At 32.7% G+C, this 23,916-nt stretch overlaps 1 long non-coding RNA gene across 1 annotated transcript; it reads left to right on the top strand.

The window, feature by feature from the left end:
- The first annotated feature begins 7,622 nt into the window (after positions 1-7,622).
- Positions 7,623-23,916, top strand: LOC105371672 (uncharacterized). The gene is made up of 5 exons (XR_922393.3): positions 7,623-7,786; positions 9,627-9,768; positions 11,577-11,701; positions 17,391-17,681; positions 18,920-23,916. It is a non-coding gene; the product is annotated as an uncharacterized LOC105371672 (long non-coding RNA).

Here is a 23,916-nt window from a genome sequence, read left to right as displayed (position 1 = left end):
TCTCCTTGCCTGCCGGGTTTTTAAAAATTTTCTCAGCTCTAAGCTATCTGGATACGCCTTTGGGAAAATAAGAAGTTGTGATTCAGCGGGGAAATACTGGAAACTAAAGGCTATTTAATGCTCTACCTTTCTATACCTCTCTTGGCATGCACATACACACACATACAGAAAAACACAAACACATACACATGTGTGTATATATGATTTTGTACAGTACTAATTTTCACAGCTAACATATTGTGAAAATCAATATGCTACAATTTAACTCTGAAATACATATAATGTTAACCATACACCATATATAACATGAGTCCTACTGACCACTATTATTTTAGTACATATATTGTGCTAAGCACTGTGCTAAATATTACCCATACCTTATTCTCACTCAATTCTCATACAAATACTTCAAGAGACATATTATTCATTATAAAGATAATACCACAGTATTAATTTCCTAGGGCTTCCATAGCAGAATACCACAGTTTGGGTGGCTCAAATAACAGAAATGTACTTTCTCACATTTCTTGAAGCTATCAGTGAGAAATCAAGATATTGACAGCTTTTGTTTCTTCTGAGACCTCTCTCCTTCATTTGCAGATGGCCACCTTTTTGCTGTGTGTTGACATGGTTCCCTCTCTCTGTGTGTGCATGAATCTGGTATCTCTCTGTCTCGACCTCTACTTATACCAGACACCGGTTATATAGATTAGCTCCCACCCTAACAGCCCTGTGTTAACTTGATTATCACTTTAATGGTCCTATCTCCAAATACAATCATTCTGAGGTACTGAGGTTTACAGCTTTAATGTATGACTTTTGAGGGGACACAATTTATTCCACAATAAGCAATAATAGAAAAAATTGGGTAACTTGGTTGGAGTTTCACAATTCTTAAGTGTGAGAGCCAGGATTTGGGCTTAGGTGTGTCTTAATTCCAAAGTTCATGATCTTAATCATTTTAACCCTATTTAATAGAAAGCAAAAACAAGGTATAAAATTTACATTATGTGCCTAAAATTTTAAACAACCAGTAAATAATAGTTACCAAATTTCTATTGCCAAATTATATTCAACTTAATGTTCTTAAATTGTGTTATACTCCCTCTATAGATTAAAGGCAGGGTAACTTCATCTGTGGTATATTCTGTAAATATGATTGACTAACAAATATAGCTTACACTTTGGCCTATTAGGAGATTACAGAAAACCACATGAATTATTAAAGTTTAAAACAAATTTTTAAATAATGCCAACTAAGGTGACTGCAGAGGAGAGCAGGATATCCAGCCCCTCATCCCTCTCCAGAAAGCAAATGAATTAATTAGTGCTTAAAAGAGTCTGATGCTTAGGAAGCAATGACTAGATGTTTGTTGAGTGATAAAGGATGCATAGTATGAAAAAGAATGCAAGACAGAGAAACTGTATTAGTATTGGAATTTAGAGGAGGGAAGAATGTCTTTTAAATATAGTACACATTATTCTAGAATAAAAAAGGACTTGGGGGATTCAAAAAACACCCTTCCTGAGAAAGTAGTGGGTATATTGAGGTAAAAAGAAGTGGTCATACTCATAGAAAACTATTAGGACTCTCTATAAATTAAGAGTGCAAAAAATAGAACTAAGGGTGGAGTTAGAGGCAGATGGATTACATCTTGCTAGTGCAGACCCAGAGCTCACATAACTAGCAATGCAGAAAAGGTACAAGAGCAACTGCCATTGCAAAATTCAGGCAGCCCCTAGGAACCTGGGTCACCCCTAACACTGAGTATCTCACTGCTAATGAGGCATTCAGCAATTAACAAATGTCATAGTATATACTTTGAGTACTGATAAGAAGAAAAAATGTAGAGATATATGAAGATAATTCTCAAGATGTCAGTTTAACCACACTGACTACACTGTTTAGGTATCAGTATCCCACAGCACACATTTTCTCCTGAGATTCCACAGTCTGATAAATTCCTGAATGAATAACTTGCATCAGCTAATTCTAGAAATTACTATAATTTTGAGATAAACATTACAGCAGTGGTCAAAAAAACAGGACTTTTTTCCCCATAAGATGTTTTGCTTTTATATATAAGAGTGATTGAAAACATCCTGAGAAGTGTCCATGGAAAGAGAATAACTAAACAAGATTCTAAACAACTTGAAAAAGAAGAAAACACTTTGAATAGAGCTATCATTGGAAACATGATTTTGTATGGTATCTGCATTATGACATCAAGAAAAGATAAATTCTGTAAAATACAAGATTAAATGAGATTATGAAGTAAAAATTTGAGATGAAATACCTACTATAGAGGATATAATCACGAAAATGTAAAATAGCAGATGTTATCAAGGACGTGGAGAAATAGGAACACTTGGACATTGCTAGTGGAATTATAAATCAGTTCTGCTGATGTCAAAAACAGTTCAGCAGCTCCTCAGAAAGTTAACATCAAATCATTATATGACTCAGCAATTCACTCCTATGCAACTCAAATAATTGAGAACAGGTACTAAAACAAATAATTGTATAGGGCCATTTGGGCAACATTATTCAAAATAGCCAAAAGTTGAAGCAATCCAAATATCCTTCCATAGCTCAAAGGATGAATGGCTAACCAATATGTGAAATACACATACAATAGAATATTATACAACCATAAAAGGAGTGAAATACTGATACATGCTGCAGCATGGATAAATCTGGGAAAAATTATTCTAACTGAAAAAATGAAAGATCACATATTGTACGATTCCATTTAAATGAAACACTCAGAAAAGTTAAATCCATAGAGACAGAAAGTAAATTGGTGGCTGTCCAGGACTCAGGAAATAATAAGTAAATTGGGGAGAAACTGCTTAATGGATGTATTAGTCCATTTTCACACTGTTATAAGAAATACTACCTCAGACTGGGTAATTTATAAAGAAAAAAGTTTAATTGACTCACAGTTCCACATGGCTGGGGAGGCCTCAGGAAACTTACAATCATGGCGGAAGGTGATGGGGACCAAGCACCGTCTTCACAAGGCAGTAGGAGAGAGAAAAAGGACACAGGAGGAATTTCCCAACATTTATACAACCATTAGATCTTGCGAGAACTCACTCACTATCATGAGAACAGCATGGGGGAAACCGCCCTCGGATCCAATCACTTCCTTCCCTCAACACGTGGGGACCACAGTATCCTCTCTTAACATGTTGGATATGTGGGTATTACAATTCGAGTTGAGATGTGGGTAAGGACACAGAGCCAAACCGTATCAAGGAATATAGGGTTTTATTTTGGGGTGATGAAAAAGCTTGGACATAGACACGGTAGTTGTACAACATTGTGAATGAACTAAAGCTACTAATTGCTCACCTTAGAATGGTTAATTGGATGTTATATAAATTTCAGCTCTATAAAAATAAAAAAAGTTGAGGTGAATATGAATTAAGATGAGTCAAGGCAAGAATAATTAATATTTTGGAAAATAAGAAAGAAAAGCAGGTAGATTGCCAAGGTAAATGAGTAACTGAGAATATTGCAGAGGAAAAAAAAAAGAGCAAACTCATGCATGTTAATGATGTCCAAAGAAACCAGAAAAAATAAGACAGAAAAAGATACTCAGTGCTATAATAGAAGTCTACTTTCCTGATCTTATGAAAAATCGAAATGTGCATATAAAAATACCTCACCAAGTATCAAGCAAACAATAAAGTGAAAGTTCTTCAAAAATTTTAAACATAAAAATAAATCCTGCTCACATGTAAGTTGATATATAGATGTTTTACAAATATACAATTGTAGAAAAAACATCTACATATCAATTTTTCTTCATACATTGCATCAAATATAATGTAAAAACATCAGATAAAATGTTGAGAGCATTAAAATGTATTTGTTACCAAAACAAACAAACAAATGGTATACAATGCACAATTTGATTTATATATGATTGTCATAGACACTGTCTTAGCTTTCTAAAAGTGAAACAAAATTCTACAAAACTGAACAAGGGGATTGAACACTTTATTTCCACCAACTGAAATATTTAAAAGTTCATAAACATATAAAAATGCAAATACAGCATAACTAGGGAAAACTAAACACTTACAGTATAGATTATCTAATAGTTTTGTTCTAAATTTTAAAGTGTCCTCAACCTATGACTCAGCACTGAACTCTGAGTCATGATTGCTGTGAATAAAATTCACCACAAGCTTTCTGGTTGCCAATTAAGCAGTAGAGATATAAAATTAATATGTACATACATTAAGGCAAACTTTTAATATTCAAGGTTTTATTTGGTAGAATCCTTCCTACAAATGATAGAAATATGTGCACAGGACCAGGCACAGTGGCTCACGCCTGTAATCCCAGCACTTTGGGAGGCTGAGGCGGGCGGATCACTAGGTCAGGAGATCGAGACCATCTTGGCCAACATGGTGAAACCCTGTCTCTACTAAAAATACAAAAATTAGCTGGGCGTGGTGGCACATACCTACGATCCCAGCTACTTGGGAGGCTGAGGCAGGAGTGTCGCTTGAACCCGAGAGTCAGAGGTTGCAGTGAGCAGAGATCATGCCACTGCAATCCAGCCTGGCAACAGAGCAAGACTCCATCTCAAAAAAAAAAAAAAAAAAAAGAAAAAGAAAAAGAAATATATGCACAGATATTCTTATTGAAGCATTATTTATAACGGATAAATGATAACCCTGACAAAAGGAGAGTAAGTTTCAACATCTAAGATATCTGGGCAGACTTTAACACATTCAGTAACAGAATACTATTCAACAATTAAAACTTTTTAAACAATTTATGTGTAGTGACTACATAAATTTCAATATAATACATGTGTAACAGAAATCATATTTTATAGCAATTTGTTCATTATGACTTATTTTGTAATAATATACATTAGGAATATATTACCTGTATTATTTTCAAAAAATAGCACAATAAAATGTATATTATTCTGCAATTTACACTTTGCTAGTTAAACATAGCAAAGCATCTGAAAGACTACCCCCATATTTTATCAGAGGTCAATTTTAGAAAGCAGTATTGAGGATAGAGATATTTATGTTCTATTATTATATTATATATGCCTACAGCTTCATGTTTAAAGTGTTAATATTTTAATTAAAAGTAGGTAATAAGTTATAAGTGTTTAAATATAAATCAGTAGTGCATAATTTCATAAGTAATTCTAGTGTCCAAAAGAGTTCTTGAGAAAGAATATACAAGTTGTAAAGCCACTTAATAATGGAAAATACGCAGAAATACTATATTGTATTTAATGAATATTGTATTTTATGAATACAATATTATTGAGTTCAAAAGGGAAAATATGAAGATGCAAGAATGGTGATTTCCAAGCTTTCCTAGGTGTAATCAACTTTTTCATGTTGAAAATTAAATAAATGTTTTGAATGAAAACAGTATAAAATGTCAAAATATAATTATTATTGAAAGTTACTGTATCTAGAAAATTTTAGGGTTCATTTTTCATTATTATTCTGGAAAAAACTTATTTCCAATTTAGATTAATCCTTCCAAAGTTTTGTTTCTATTTAAAAATATTAAATTTAATTTATCAGAACCTGATAAAAAGATCTGAGAGAGACAGACAGAGAGAGACAGAGAGAGATAAAGTAAGCATTTTCAGGCCTACAAAAGTGTAATAAAAATTCTAGATAATATTCTAGATAATTGTATCATACTATTTATTAAAATAGTAAGATGATATTGCTGACTATGGTTTATTATGGAAAATAAACATAACTCAATATGAGATTACACTATGCATGTATTACATTTCAAAGGTTCTCAAGTAAACATTTTTTCTTAATATATTAGTATCATTAAATTCAACACGCAAGCAATAACATCACAAAATTACTGCTGGCTTAACAGTAACAGTGATGTCAATCTTGGTGTTATGACTGTAGATCAGAAATCTTCTTTCCACCTAAGAAACATCTGAGAAAGAAATATATTTTCTCATTGTTCAAAACCCATCTTTAACATTTTCTGTTAAAATTCCGTATTTATTGATTTGGAAGAAAACACTAGAAACAAGAGTGAAGTGATCTTTTAAGAAAGCCTGCAATATCATCTCTCTTGTTGCCATAGAAAATATAATTATTTGGAAAAAGAAGACAATGACAGATGATTTAAAAGTGTTTTAGAAAGGTAAGCCAACTGTGAAGACATTTTAGAAACATTTAACCAATTAATTAACCTGTATTGTCTTCCTAACATATGCATAAGGGTCATGTAAGTTAGAACAATCTATGACTATGTGTCTAAAAGTGTCCTTCAAATTTTCAAGTAAATTTTCTAAGTGTTAAGAAAGAATTATTACATACCCAAAAAAGTCTATGCATGACCGTCCAGTAAATATAAACTGAAAATTCTAAGCATAACCATTTAATGGTACTGGTACATAAGAGAGTGTGTTACAAATATAATGTTTTTAATACAAGGACACATGTTGATTAATTGTATCAAAATTCAAAGAAAAAATAGTGATTCTATGGCTAGATGCCTCAAATCTAATGCAATAAATTTGTATACTATCCATGAACATATATTTATAGATAACTAATTAATGTTATTTTCATGGTGAACTTACCATAAATATGGAAAAATATACTAAAATGGAGAAGTTAAATAGAGGAAAGGAGCTCAGAAATCAGTGCAGTAAGACAAAGAAATGAGAGCACATTTTAAAGTTTGGAAATGGGTTCCTTCAACAGGGGAAAGAAAACTCTCACGTGTTACATCCCTCTTGATTCTAAGAATAGACAGAAATAATACTGCTCTGAATTATACTCCAGATGACTAAGCCAAGTGCTGATTCTACCCAGAAATATCTCTGTGCTTTGAAACAACATCCTCAACACTGAATACAAAGAAGAGATAGGAGTTATGACAACCACGAAAGACAGAAAATGTGATAGGAAAGACTGGAGATCCTAGTGCTGACACCCTAATGGGCTGTCAGGGACTGGAGCTGGTCTAGGGGCCCTCAGGCAACACCAAGGTGTGGCCTCAGCCAGATGCCTTCATTTCCTCCAGGACCTTATTCCACGCCGAGGCAATGGCTAGACCTCTGAGAAGGGAAACTGGATTGGAAAAAAGCCAACATTTCCCAACACCTGAAGGCGACAGGGGGATTGACAGTGTCCTTGCCTGCAAACCTGTCCTCCATGTCTTAAGTCTGACAGCCCTTAACTGGCTGACAGAGGCCCGGTGTTTTTCTTTCATTTTAGCTATTGTGGAGTTTAGGGACTCAAAAAAAAAAAAAGGACAGAAAAGCAGCAAGTCCGCTTTTACTCACACATCTACAGATCCCGGATGAGCCACTTAAAATGATGCAGGACTTTTTGGGGTGTTGCTTCACCAGCCCCAGTAGCCGGTGGTACCTCTGCTTGAGTTTTGCTCATGCCTGCTGGGCTGGTTCCACCCACTCGACCTGGCAAGCTGCACTCGGCTCACGCTACCACCCTGGATCCCACGGCTGCCAAAGGCAAGCCAGGCACAGAGCCAGGTACAGAGTGGCAAGGGGTTTGTGAGCAAGTGATCGTGGGGTCTGGCCACTGCACACAGCCAGGCACGCCAGCTGCTGCGGCAGGGCATGCAGCTCCAGGAACCGGCACCGGCACCAGCTCCTTGCGAGGCTGCAGCTGGACCAGGTGTACCACAGGCGGCTTCCGCTGCAAGTACCAGGGTCTGGATGAGGGGAACACAGTGGCACCCAAAAACCTGAGTGAGACGCCAGCAACCACAGAGGCCAAAGAGGTAGGGGGCGTGCTCCAGCTCTCTCGTTCCTACTTTCCGCGGCCACCAAAATCTCATTGCTCACACTGCTAGGAGGAGCTCTGCAAACCTGATTCTGAGAGCTGCTCGATTCATGAATCATTTTTTCCTCAAATAAACTGTTAAATTTATTGTGTCTAAAGTTTTTCTTTTAACAAATTTAAAATATGTTAAGACGATAGTGCCCATGATAAGTATTCTTTTAACGCATGCACACAAAAAGAATACAAGGAAATTTTTAGAGGTGATAGATATGTCTAGCACCTTTATTGTGGTGATAGTATTATAAGTGTATACATAAGTTCAAATGTATCGAAATATGTACACAAAATATGTACAATTTTTGTATCACAATTATACCTTCATAATGATTTTTAACATGTAACAAATAGATTAAAAATGCATTTTACCTCAATTAACATAGTCACAAAAATCTATGAAGTTAATATGTCCTCATCTGTATTTATCCCTATTTTAACTATTAGGAACTGAGACCCAAACAGGTTAAGTGAATTGTTAATGATCATACTGATAGCTAGTGACAGAGCTAATATTTTTTTGTGAGGTATAGCTCTCTCTTTTCTTCTACGTAAACATTACTTTTGAGTCTGAAAGATTTTACATAGATTATTTTAGCATTTTACGTTATTTGTTGTTTTTATGTATAGAATTTTTTTGGGTTGATTTATCTTTAATCATTAATCTTACCTTCTTCTACACTAACACATAGTGTGCATTGTTGCCTGCTGTTAAATGTTTTCATGAAAGTTTAAGGAAACCCAAAGAAATTGTGTATGATTATAGCATTGCTTAATTTCCTAAGATCCAAGATTTGGATATTTGTGTTATTTCCTTTTTTCTTCTTCTATTAGCAGCAATGTGATTATATATCCATGAGGAAAATTCATTGCACATACACATAATTAATTGTGGAGTATGCACAGAGATGAAATTGTTGGTTGAATGAATGCAGATTTTAAAGGGATTTCATATGTAGTGGCCTCAAAATAAAATGCAATGATTTACATATCCAGTAACTATGCATGAAGGAATTGCTTTGTTGCATGCTTGTAAAAAATAAAATAAGGAAAGAAAAAGGTAATATTTAATGATGAAAAAAGTAGAGAAAACACTGAACATAAATGATCTAAGTACTCAACTTCATAAGATAAAAGAAATCAAAATTTAAAAATTGATGTACACTGAAAAGAAATAAAATTTTAAAAGATATGACCTGAAATCAAAATATTTAAAATGTGTTTCAGTTTCTTATTTAATTTATACAAGTTGTTTTTTTTTTCAGCAAGTTTCTCTGCTCCAAAGTTTAAGTTTGCAACACAACACAAATGGTGTCATAAATGGCAACATAAACAAATCTCTCCATTCTTAATTATAATATTATATAAAAGAGCAACCAAAGACAACATAGATAGTGATAGTTTGAGGTTCTATTACTTTTATTTTGTATATCATGAATCTGAGATCAATTTTAGCAAAATATTATCTTACAAAATAAAATTTGTGATGTTACTATATACTCTTAAACAAAATAAATGCCTAATAAATAATTTAGTTTACATAGTATATATACCATTTCAAACACAAACAAAATGACAAAATAGTACATTAGCACATATATGACACTAGAAAATGTCAAAATTCTGGCATTAATATTTGTCTCAAAAATAACAATACTAGTTAAGTTTTGATTTAGTCTTTCTATTAAACTAATCCATTTTTGTTTGTGTGTATGCACAGGGGTGTGATAATTTAATGAAGAAATTTTCTAATGTTACAGCTTAAACAATGTCTCTAAATTTAGACTTCTTAAAGCTAATTTCCAACTCTTCCTGCCTGCAATGAAGAGCAAGAAGTGATTAAACTGTTCAATTGCACAATCAACTGACAAACAACAATCTACATGACACCTTCAAGAAAGGGATTAATCTCCACATGGCACAAAGGTACTAAAATTAGCCTACTTGTGAGTAATTGTTTAACATCTTGTAAATACAAATGCAGTACTAATTTTGCTTGACCTTTCTGAGTATGAGCTATGAATAAGGACATTCCAACCTTTTATTAGATAAAAACAGTCTTCATGTTGGATCATGAGTGACACTTGAAAATTATAATGTTACAAATAGTGTAAAAATTATACATGCTTATTTTTAAGACAGAAACAAACATATATAAGAGAGAAAAATGCAAGGATGTTAGTGAGCATCTGGTAAATATGCTTTCAGATACATTGGCATAAAAGTTACAGAAAAGTTTGAATAGATTTAAACATAGAACACATTTACGTTTTGTTTCAGAATTGGAGAAAATCACTTTTTGGAAGTCCTATGAGCAGATGAATACTCATTACAATTTCTAATAATATAAAAATGGTATTACTATTTATTACATTCATTATTTTGAATTTATATATATTCATAAATAAACTTGTTCTTGATTTATAAAGTCTAACAACTTTAGTGATACAAAGAGTTATGGATTTGAATGTACTAATAATATCAAACATTTACTTTCACTTATAGGAAGGCATTTTATGTGTAATTTGGAGTAAAGGTTTTTTATACTCTTTCTATATTAAAATTATATTATTCAATAAACACATAAAAGTATATTATTTACTCAATTGCTGAGATAATAATGATTATAAAAATTGTTTAATTCCTACCAAAACAACATAATAAAGTTTCAGAGTCGATTAAAATGTATTTAGAAAGTATTTTAGCTGGAGAATTTTTTGAAAAATACTATAGTCTTTGTACCAAATATTTATAAAAAGTTGATTGATAAAATAATAATAGCATTTGGATATTGTAATTCTAATCTTGTATAATTATTTGATATTTCAATATTTATAATGTTATTAAAGCTTTAATAATTTTAAATTAAAGTAATGTTTTAAAATTTAATGATTTTCATACCATCAATTTTGAAAGAAATCCTACTTATAAATACCCACATTCTGCGAGGGTAAAATAAAATAGAAGTTACTTTTGTTATCTCAAATTTTAACTGGTTGAAAAAACAAGGAAATCACAAATGAGACCATATCAGATTATTCAAAATTGGTCCAGATATAATGAAGCAAATAGGGTACCATAAAAAAAGTGAGATATTAAAAAAAATTCCTCATTCACTAAACTTCATTTAAAAAGGTATTCAGTAATGTACATAAGAGTAATGAAGTAATCTGGCAGCCATCAGTGCAGAGAAATCATAGTTCCAGCCCTGCAATTTGTAACTTTAAAGTTAATTGCAAATTTTTTAATAATAAAATTACAATTTTAGATAAAATTTTAGATATTTATTTGTATTCCAATAATTTTCTTACATGATGCTGATATTCACCAGAACTTCAGAAGTGGTAAAATCTTAATTTTAAAATGAATATCATTTAAACAAAATTGTATTTTGTCTGACTTCTGACTTCTAAGCTATGTGTGTATATATGTATATATATCTATATATATATGACAGATAAATATATAGAGATAGAAGGTAAATAAAAGGATATAAGTGTTATAAGAATCCTACTGTATATACCATTTTAAATAAACATTTTAAGAAAAATTTTAGGTTGTTAGAAAAGTTGAGCATAACATACCCAAAAGACAGTTTTTCCTATTAACATCTTGCATTTGTAGTCTACATTTGTTACAATTAATAAAGGGATATTATATGCTATATTAACTACAGTTTTTTTTGTTTACTTAGACTTCCCTAATTTTTACTGAATGTCCTTTATCTATTCCAGATACCATCAAGGATACAACATACATGAAGTTGTCACATCTCTTTAAGCTCATCTTAGCAGCCACTATTCCTCAGAACTTTCTTTGGCTTTGATGACCTTTTCAGTTTTTGAGAAGTATTGGTCAGGTATATTTTAGACTGCTATTCTATCAGAATTTGTCTTGTTTTCCTCATGACTAGACTGAGGTGATGGATTTGGCAGGTGGAGATGAAATTGCTGAAATTATTCCAGTTTTGGTCTTTGGGAGCTCGTGCAGATGGTTCCTATGCCACTTTGACATAGTTCCATCAATGTATTTTTTTCTTTCCTTTAGCACTTCTTTACTTTCGGGTACTGTAAGACACCCTAAACTCATCTTGTATATTTTCTGCCTCAGTCCTAGAATCTGCCATTTTGCCAAGGAACGCTTGTTCATCTTATTGGATAATGATGTTAGAAATCAAGATTTGGGTACTAAACGTGCTTTTGCTACTGGGATGTTGCTTCTTTTAGTTTCTCTTAGCCAATGAAGCAAAGGAATATACAATATAAGTGTTTGCTAACCTGAGTGTGTATACACACCTATAAATACTTCTGTATTTAACCATCTGCCTCTATTTTAGTTAAACATGAATTCTTAATAATATCTCCAACTCTAACCCATTATAGCATGGATCAATATAGCTCCTCCTGTTGCTGATCTGTAAATTTCCACTCCAGCAGTCAGAAATCAGGTTCGCATTTGCCATTCATTTCTTAATTGTTCAATGCCAGTACACATGTACAGTATCATCAAAATTGTTAAACTGTCCTCGTAAAAGAAACTTTATTAGAGTGCTTATGTGCAGCGTCTTTTTCTTTAGTTATGTAGACTCTATTTTCAGTTACTTCCGTCAGCCCCTTTCCCTCACCACCTTTGTTAGAATATTTCATTTGTAATACAGTGAAATCCTCATGTTTGTCATAATCTGCATTCTTTCCTAGGATACCCTGACTTCCTGCATAACTTTTTAAAATTGGCAAATATTATGGTTTATTCTTTTTGTAGTAAAGTTCTACAGGATTTGATAAATGCATAACGTCATGCATCCACCATTAAAGAATCATAAAGAATAGTTTCACTATCCTAGAATTCCCTTGTATTTCATTTATTTGGTCCTCCTCTCTTCTCCAACCACCAAACTTTTTACTATCTCTATATAGTTTTGCCTTTTTCAGAATTTCATATAATTGTAATTATACAATATGTAGTCCTTTGACTGGCTTTTTTCACTTAGTAATATGCATTTAAAGCTCCTCCATTACTTTGTGTGGCTGAATAGCTAATTTATTTTTTACATATCAGCAGATATAGCAAATACGCAAATATGTTAAAGGTGACTAATAATAATATAGCCCATGATACTCTATTAAACAATTTATTTCTCTTCTTTATAAACTCAGAGTTTGCGGATTATTTCTCTATTATTTCTCCCCAAGTCAGAATTACTTTTTAGAGCTCTATATTGTCCTGGAATTAAGGGAAGGTCACCTGCTTTTATTTCTGTCTTAGTCAAGATTACCCGGGATGCTTGGAGTAACAACCTCAAAATCTCAATGGTTTCATTTCTTGCTTCTGCTACTTGTCCTTCAAGGGCCAATGCATAGTTCTACCTTTTATTGTTATTATCTTTTCTGTGGTGCTCATGATAACAGCAAAATTATCTGAAAAAGAAAAGACATGTGATATGTTACTGGTAGCTGTAAACGAAGGGAAAAAGTGCTTTGGAGAGCCTACTATTGGAAATCAAATGCTCATTCTAGACATGGAATATCCCATTTCCCATTTCTGCTGACAATCATCAACCAGAAGTAGCCCCAAGGTCCCATCTGGGCACAAGTAGTAAGACATTTTGATCTTACTTTAGGCCTACAGGGAGAACTGAAATACTTGGAGCAATACTGATCTTGACAGGTACCTCTCTCTTTCTCCCTGACCTCAGCTATGTTGTAACTCATCTGGTTTAGGTTCTTGACACCCACTGTTTTTATTGACCATCTGAGAATGCCTACAAATACTCTTATCTAGACATAGCTGTCATACATCATGACTCTACTTGTCCTAAAGACAAGCTGCTTGAGCCTTTGGCAAAGGTACCATGTTTAACATACTTTTTGAAGATTTAGTTGTTACTGGGTTATATTATGGAAAGGACAGTGATGCCATTTATGCCCCCAAGACACTTCAAATCTATTTATGAATTTTTTAGCCTCCCTGTCTTTTTTTTAGTTCAACCCAAAGTGTAGGGAAGAGATGGTCACTTCTTAGAGTCTATGAGATCTAGTCACAGACTCTCTGATTCTCTGCCAACCATCTAGTCTTTACTGTTAATCCATTTGGGAAGGGAAATTTTTCTCATTTGACCACCACACGCCAATATCTATTCTCAAGTTCATCTTAAAATCCTTCAAGACAAGGTAGAAATCCAAAAGATTTTGTTTTCGCAACATATATTCAACATTTTAGAATTCTTAATGAACAAAAAACCTTCTCTCAAGAGTCAAAATTTAAAAGGTAAAATATGTTTGCTTTAAAATGATGCTCCTATAATAATGAGCATACGAAGCACTCAGATTTTGGCACTTAAATGCCATTCTCAGCTGGGAGCAGTAGCTCATACCTGCAATTCCAACACTTTGGGAAGCTGAGGCAAGAGGATCCCATGAAGTCAGGAGTTCGAGACCTGTTTGTGTAACATATAAAGACCCTATCGCTACCAAAAGTAAAAATAAATAATTAGCTGGGCATGGTGGTGTGCATCTGTACTCTGAGCTATTCAGGAGTCTGAGACAGGTGGATCATTTGAACCCAGGAGTTTGAGGCTGCAGTGAGCTATGCTTGTGCTGCTGCACTCCAGAGCCTGAGCAACAAACCTCAATCCTGTCTTTTTTTTTTTTTTTAATTATTCTCCAACCAATAAAAACAAGCACTCTTAGAATGAATATCTCATGTTAAGGCTAAGGCAGGGAAAATGCCAAGTGAGCCTTGAGCTCAAATAGAACCACAAGGTAACAAAGTCCTCAAAAATTAAAGTAGAAGGGGCATGCCAAAGGGACACTGGATTCAATCTGAGAGAGCTCCAAAAGGTCAAGCTGGAGAAAATTGAACAATGAGATAGATAATGTAGTATTGCACAATAACTCAATCTATAAAATATATATGTGAGCTCAAACCTATATAAATTATTGCATAGACAAACAAATAAGGAAAAAAGAAAAAAAAAACCTCCCTTGCAGAAGCCCAAATAATATACATAGATACTGCCCCCTCCAGAAGTGCTTAATTACCAGCCAGTCACTATCCTCTGAGGATGGCCTAGACTTAGTGACCTGTTTCCAAAGAAGAGAGTATGCAAAGAGAAAAACAGTAACTTTAGCTTTCAGAGACCTGGCAAACACTACCTTACACAGGTGGTAAATTATTAATGGTCTCATGTGCATATCATATTTAATCTGATATATGGGAAGAGCACATCACCTCTGTTGTATTCGTTTCAAAAACCTATAACCCCAATCTAATCATGAAAAAACTGTCAGAAAAACCCATTTTGAAGGACATTTTACAGGTGACCTGTAAAATGGGTTATTATGTTATTAATCCTCAAGATTATCAAGGTATGAAAAAATAAGAAAAGAAAATATTGAGAAGCTGTCACACATCAGAGGAGACTGAGTACATGTAACAAATTTCTGAAACAGAGAGAGAATGTTAACCAGAAAAAAAAGAAATTTAAATAATGTTTAGAGTTTAGTTAATAATAAAGAGTCAATGGCAGTTTCCTCATTTTGATAAATGCACCATGTTAATGTAAGATATTAACAATAGAGAACTAATAATTATATGGGAATATTTTCTATTTACAATTTACTGAAATTTTAAATTATTAAAGTTAAAATTATTTAATGTTATTCAAAATAACTTTACATTCATTAAAATTTGTTTGATCACATACTATTGCATTTGCCGTCACTTAAAATTCACCAATTGATTAAATTATTTGTTTTATGTTAAATCCACACTTCTCTTGAGACAATGAGTACAACTTACTTGATAGGGAAATGGCAGTGGAGAAATAAGAAAAAGAAGTGAGGTAACATGGCTTTAAACTTCATTATTAAAGTATGACATTTATTTTAAGCATGACTGTGTGATTAATATTAAACTTTCTTATTACTGGCTAACAACCTAAGAGATTTGATATCAGGAAGGAGACATTCAGTATAGCTTACTTGACTGTTGAAAATATATGAAAATTATCATTCCGCTTGCAAAGAACTGTATTCTAATCTAGACTAGCCACAAGGTTTGGTTAGAATGAATCATTCCTTAAGTGTCTACTGATTTGTGAATGCTGTGGTGAAATTGAGTCTAAAGGCAAAGATGAAAATTACATGCTGAAATTGTGCAATCCCACATAGGAGCTACAACCAGGTGCCAATTATTATCTGTCACTTTCATCTCAGTAAGTGCATGTTCTAATATTTATGATTCATTGATTTACTTAAAAACCATTGTTCCATTGAAACAGTGTAAAATTCAGGTTGCTTTTTTTAGATAATACATGTTAACCACGTATTTCTCACTCTCTCTCTCTCTCTGTGTGTGTGTGTGTGTGTGTGTGTGTGTGTGTGTGTGTGTGTGTGTGTTTGGATTGAAATAGGCATCTGATTATAAAATGGTTGATATGGGAAATGAGATATCTTAAATGATTTGACTGAATATATATTATATCACATAATAGTGAAGATATAACTTTAATTTTTATGGCATAGCACAAGAAATGATTTCATAAGAAACAGATACCTTCTCTGCCTTACTTTTATTTGTTTCTCTCTGGGTTTGTTTGACATGTTTATGGAGAGTCACTCCATGCTGACGTGTATTTTTCTGTTTTCAGTGAAATTTTGAGATACCGGGGCATGATATTCATCTCAGTAAGTGCTTTGTCTAGAAATTATTCATAGGCTAACCGTAATTTAGACATGTTGAAAATTTACATCCTGACCTTAATGGCTTAAAGGCATAATTCCGCTTTTATATCTGTTTGAAAAAGCACTGCAGGCCAAAGTGAATGTAAAAATATTCAGAGACTTATTTTTTCAAGCCATAAAGCATTCACTTATCTCAAAAAGTAATAGAATTTGGAAATGTCATACCAAATAAGTTTTTATTCATATAGTCTTTCTAAACTGGACCCTCCTTCAGAGTTTGCCATTATTGTTCAAAATATTTAATTTGTAATGTCAAAGAAAATATATTGTAAGTAATATGATTATTTAATGTCAGCATTGAGTTGATATCAACATTTCTTTTTTCTGTAATTTAATTATAAGCATAATTAATTTAAATACACACACATATGTAGTGTACTATATGCCAATCACTGTACTAAGTGATGTAAAGATAAACAGAAATTAAAATTGTGCTTTACCCTCAAGAAATTCAGAAGTAGGACATGTGAAGATGTTAATAAATAAATACAAGATTTTACAATATTTGTGAATGACAATATGAAAGATAAATTTATTTTGCTGGAAAGATATAATCCTTGCTACATATTTTGTCATCTAACAAGAGTTTCTGTCATCCAGAAGTTATCTTTATGTGTCAAAGTTTTAAAATGGGCAATAAAGTGGGTAATTTTTTCTACTACCGATGGGTTCATTAAGAATAACCCTGGGACCACTGATACCCATCACCTGCCTAATAATGTCTCCAACAGCCAAGCAACTTGCTAATATCTGTTGAAAAATGCTTTTCACCTAAGTGGACTTTTTTATTCTTTCATCAAATAGGGTAATCTATGCCTTTTGAACCACTCTTTACAAAATCTTCATCCTGCCTTTGCTACTAACAACTTCACCAAACCACTGGAAGAGGAACTATATGAGTGAAAAAATCACATCATTCTTCCTCAGCATTTGTATTAGTTTGTTCTTATGCTGCTGATAAAGACATACCTGAGACTGGGTAGTTTATAAAGAAAAAGAGGTTTAATGGACTCAACATTTCCCCATGGCTGGGGAGACCTCACAATCATGGGAGAAGGCAAAGGAGGAGCAAAGGCATGTCTTACATGGCAGCAGGTAAGAGAGCGGGTGCAAGGGAACTCCCATTTATAACACCATCAGATCTCATGAGATTTATTCACTAACATGAGAACAGGATGGGGGAACCACCCCCATGATTCAATTAACTGCACCGTATCAGCATTAAACTGGACATGAGAATAGTATTGAAGGGTAATAGATTTGTAAAATAGTTCAAAATACTTTAAGCAATAAATATTCACCATAAAAAACTTATTTGTGTTTTTTATCCTAATTTGACTTTTCTACACCCATTCTTATTTTTTAAAATGGCTCTCTATTTTTAATACAAAAAATATTTTTCTATTAAAATGCATGTAGAAGCATTAGCAGATTTTATAACTACTTACAAGAAAAATGCCAGGTAATGCAAAATAATAGTATGTGATTAAACAAATAGAAATTAGATCTGAGGACCATTACCTGAAACTAGCATCACATTTTAAAGATAAAGCTACATGCAAAATTGTTTCTTTTATAAAAATAAATGCTATTGTACCTTTCTTGTTTATCTAATCTCAGTGGATTCTTTGCCCCAGTACTCCATCTTTTAACTATTAGGGGTCCTTACATGGGACAAAAACTCCCAGAAATTTGTTTTACATTTCTCCCTACTTATAAGGCATAATATTAATATGATATGAACATATTATACTTGGCTGATTACCTTCAAACTAAGACATTTGGTTAAATGTGCAGAAGTAGAAACTGCTATGGATCAATATAAAAATTCTCACATTATATTTGGCCTGTTTTTTCCATGTTTATAAAATATATTTCTAAAATAAATGTTTATTAGTTTATAGAGGGACATATTCTGTATTTAAAAAACCTTTTATTTTCTCTGCTAAATACATCCAATTGATTACTGCTATACTAATGGGATTTATTTTTCAACCTTGACATGAAAATTCACATGTTCCTTATGCCCAGGGCCTGAAGTCATACAGGGAGAAAACACTCATGAATTTTAATAAGTTATCTTTCTATTTTTTAAAATTGTGATGCACATTTATATTAATATAATCTCATATGGGATAACAGCAATATAAGAGGAGGGTAATTTTTACATGGTGATGCCTTTGATCAATTCAGTAACAAACTGAGTATAAGTTATAGGCCAAAACTTCATTTGAATGTATTTTATACACTGTTATATATTTTATGTATATATATTCTGTAGTAACATTCATATATTTTTCTTATTTTTTCATATTTTCATTTTTTACCTTTAGAAATATTGAAATTGTTGGCAAAATCTGTTGGAACATATTTCCTGGCAAAAGAGAAAGCATGAACATAAGATGAAGTGAATGTGATCTTGGGGACAAAAAAGCAAGTTCAATCTCCAACTCTAAGAATTTATTGAGTTAGCGGCAGCTACTTATTGCGTTTTCTGTTTACTACTTTGCTTCTAAATTTTACATATATGTTTACGTCTGTATTCAAACCAACTTATAGGAATAATACACATTTTACAACTGGATTATTCATCATATTTAAGAATTATTTTTTGTCTACTGAAACCAATTATTATTTATATTTACAGGCAGTTACATTCTTTTTTAAAATCTATTTTCCTTTATATTGTCAAAATCATGAATTTTTCTCATGTGTTTCACATATAACTCATAAGTGAACAAACAAAAGAGAGGAGTGTTTAACTTATTTTATGACCAACTTTTCTTTTCTTTTCTTATACCAGATAGTCATCTGCTATGATAGAGGACTGCAGAAATTTAAGAATGGATTTTGTAAAACATTGTCAAACTTAGGTGCTAAGCCAAATGTTATAATAAACCACACCAATATCAAGAGTGAAAAATGTCAACAAATAACTGGCAAGGGTGTTAATATCTTCAGTTTTAATATTTATCTGCAATATTGTTCATATCTTCATTTTCTACTCAGGATGTGATGTAGTTCAATTTGAAATTGTGAGAATGTGAACTAGGTAGAGCACGTTAATAAAAGTTTAGCTAGTTCTACTTTGGGAGGCCGAGGCAGGCGGATCACGAGGTCAGGAGATTGAGACTATCCTGGCTAACATGGTGAAACCCTGCCTCTACTAAAAAATACAAAAAAATTAGCTGGGCTTGGTGGCAGGCACCTGTAGTCCCAGCTACTCAGGAGGCTGAGGCAGGAGAATGGCATGAACCCAGGAGGCAGAGCTTGCAGTGGGCCGAGATCGCACCACTGCACTCCAGCCTGGGAGACAGGGAGAGACTGCTATTTTTCCCATAGCAGTAAGGGTCAATTTACAGTCACTATATTGGCCAAACTAAGTCTCGTAATAAATACTGACAAATCATTATCTATAGAATAGTTAAGCACTTTGTCACTCCATTAATATTTCCTGAGACATACCAAAATTATTTCCTTCATTAGTGTTTTCTTTGTTGAACTTAAAAGAATATTTTGAACTTTATCTTCATTTTCTATCAGTTCACTTGAACCTTGGCTTAGTTCTCAAATATGTAGGAACAGGGTTAAATCCTCAAAATTTGGCTAATAAGAATTATTTTTACTATTTATTCAATTTTATTCAGTTAATATTTCAATATAAACAGTGAAAACAACCAACTTAATTTTTTATAATACAGGTCTCAGAGATATCGCCTGTGATTCATTTAGTTTAAGCCTTCCCATTTGAAACTGCTGCAGAACTCATATTTTCTGTTTCTTAAAGTTGAGATTGATATAAATCATAGAAAATTTAAAAACATGTCTCTTAATATTAACAGTTAACTGGTATAGTGACCATAACTAATCACATTCATCTTTGGTGAATCACATTGAAATTAATGAGAAAATAACTTTAGGAACCAAAATTAGTGACTGAAAAGCATTTTATTAGCCAATTGTTTGAAGGCATGTAGAGATAATAAAGAAAATCTGAGAAGATGAAGATTGCAGCATAGTTTTCTAAATCCTAACATTAAAAAAACAGGAGAGCAATTATATATGTAAAACTCAAAACCCATGAACACTGTTTACAATAAAGTCTAGAGACAAGGTATCCCTATGAACCTCAAAAAGTGCAAAAGGCAAATGACCACAAGACGTTCATGTAAATATTATATGTGCAAAGAAAAAGTAGTGAGACTCAATACAGTATTTGATAGTCATGATAATAGGAGAATCCTTAAATAGCCAACAGCTATTTAATGGAAAACATGGGGTCCAGTTTGAAAATAACAGTTGAAAAAGGGAAGTAGTTTTGCCGAATCCAATAGCAGATGAGTACAAGGAGTTCATAGTGGTTCCCCATGGCTGGAGCTGTAATGTCACAGTAAACACTTAAAACTGATCAGCTAAACTGTTTTCTAGGACAGGACAGCAAACTGAAGAGAAATCGTTTGAAATGGAATCAAAGTAAGCCAATTAGAGGCAACAACAGAACAAAAGAAAGAGAAGCTACAGATAAAAGTGGAAAAAAAAAGATAGATTATAGATACAAGTGGAGAAAGGAAACTGTATCAGAAAATTTCAGAGTGCAAAACCACCATATTTTCTAGCAGTATACCAAAAGTGACCACACACAGAGCTCTGTGTCATTAGAAAATTTATCCTGTAGCATGCCTACTTCAGTTTCGAAAAATTAAATTTACATAACAAATTGAGTTTTAATTTAACAAAAAAAGCTATTGTAAGGAATAAACAAGGATAACAAGAAGAAAAACATACTTTTAGAAAATAAAAGCATGCTAAAATGTCAGGCTTTCAGGACATCTTAAAACCGTAGATTATTTCTATTTGAAAATGGTCTATTAATAAATAACATTAAGAAATAATAATGAGACTAGTATTTTCCTGATATTAAAAGAAGATCAAAGACATCAGGTAAAAAGAAAGCTACAGACAGATGTCTTTTATGAATGAATATACGCACAAAAATGCCCTTGTCAAATACTAGTAGCACTGAATCAAGCAACATATACAGATGTGTGGACACCATATACAAATGGATCTATTTCAGAAATGTAATATTGGTTTAATATGTAAAAAATTAATATAGTACACCATATCAGTAGAACAAAGGTCAAAAACCACTTGATCATCTCAATAGATGCAAAGAGTAAAAGTATTTGACAAACTCTGATTCATTTTCATGATTAGAACCACACGCACACACACACATAAATACTAGGAGGGAACTTCCTCAATCTGAAAAAGAGGATTTACAAAAAATCAACAGCTCACCTTGTACTTAGTGATTAATGAATGACTCAATGATCTTCCAAAAAGAAGAAGGCATGAATATCTATTCTTGCAGACTTCTATTCAACATTGTACTGGAGGTGCCAGCCAGGACATTTATGTAAAAATATGAGAAAAAAAGTAATCTAGATTGAAAAAGAATAAAGAAAATCATCTCAATTCATAAATGTCATGATGTTGCATATGGAATAACTTAAGAAATCAACTAAAAATCAAAGAGAACTAATAAATTAGTTCAGCAGAATTTCAGGATACAGGATAAAATAATCAACTATATTTTTACACACCAGGAATGAACAATTCAAAATGATATTAAGAAAATAATTCCCAGCCAGGCAGGTAATCCCCACACTTTAGGAGCCAAAGGCAGGAAAACGGTATGAAACCAGGAGTTTGGGACCAGCCTGGGCAATAGCAGGAGTGTCTCTATAACAAACAGAGAAATAAACAGACAAACAAACTAAAAACTTAGTTGGTCGTGTTAGTCCTAGCTGCTCAGGAGGCTAAAGTGGAGAACCACTTGAGCCCAGGAGTTCAAGTTTACAGTGAGTTATGATCATGCCACTGTACTTCAGTCTGGGCCACAGAGCAAGACTGCAGGAAAAAATCCAATTTAATAGCATCTGAAAGAATAAAATACTTAGCAATAAATTTAACAAAAGTGCAAAAGTGGAATCTTATACACTTAGAACTGCCAAACATTGTTAAAATAAGTTAAAGAAAATGTAAATAAATGGAAAGACACTCTATGTACATGGCAAAGAGACTAAATATTGTTAAAATGACAATATTTCCTATTATTGTCATTTTAACAATTAATGCATTAGTGCAATCTCTAACAAAATCCCAGCTGGCTTCTGGAAATTGACAAGCTGGTACTAAAATTTATATGGAAGTTCTGGGGAACCAGAATAGCCAAAACAATCTTGGGAATGAAAAGGAACAAAACTGGGTAACTTCTACTTATTGATGTCAAAGTTTACTACAAAACTTAACACAATGTGGTACGCGCATAAAGAGACACATACAACTCAGTGGAGTAGAACTGAGCATGAAAATAAAAGCACAAAACAGAAAGAAAGATCATCTTTGCAAATCATATCTTTGATGAGGAATTTGTATCCAGAATATATAAAGAGCTTTTACAACTCATTATTAAAAATAACTCAATTTTTAAAAAATTAACAAAGAATCTGAATAGATTTTTTTTCCATAGAAGATATAGAAATGATTAACAAGCACAGAATAAGACCTTCAATATCATTAGAGATTATAACATTGCAAATCAAAACCACAATATGCTACTTTACACCTACTAGAATGACTATAATGAAAAAGACAGATAATAGCATATTTTGCCAAAGATGTGGAAAAATTAGAACTCACATATTGCCAGTGAGAATGTAAAATGTTACAGCCACTTTGGGAAACAGCCTGGCAGTTCCTTAAAATGTTAAACATAAATTTAACATGTGATCCACCAAACATATGTCCACACAAAAACTTGTACATGAATGTTTTTAGAAACGTTTAATAACCAAAAAGTGTAAACCACCTTATTGCTCATCAACTGATCAATAAATAATATGTGGTATAAACAGAAAGTGAAATATTATTCAGCAGAAAAAGAAGGAATTACTGACTAGTACATTCCACAAAATTTGAATGGTTCTTGAAAATATTAAATGAATGAAAAAAGCCAGTAACAAAAGATCACATATTATATAATTCCATTTTCAGAAAGTGTATAGAATAGATAAATTTATAGAGAAAGAAAGTGGATCAGTAGGTATTTTTTTTTAATGTAACCTGGTGTGTAATATGGGAAATTAGAGACTCAATGCTAGAAGACATAAGGTTTCTTTTGGGGTGATAAAACTGTTCTCCAGTGGATTGTGGTGACGGTTACACTACTCTGAGACTATACTAAAAACCATTGAATTGTACAATTCAAATGGGCAAATTGTGACATGTGAATTCAATCTCAATAAATCTATTACCAAATAAATTA

Source organism: Homo sapiens, chromosome 1, assembly GCF_000001405.40.
Source record: "Homo sapiens chromosome 1, GRCh38.p14 Primary Assembly".
NCBI classification, from domain to species: domain Eukaryota; kingdom Metazoa; phylum Chordata; class Mammalia; order Primates; family Hominidae; genus Homo; species Homo sapiens.
This window is presented reverse-complemented; position numbering and strand designations above follow the sequence as displayed.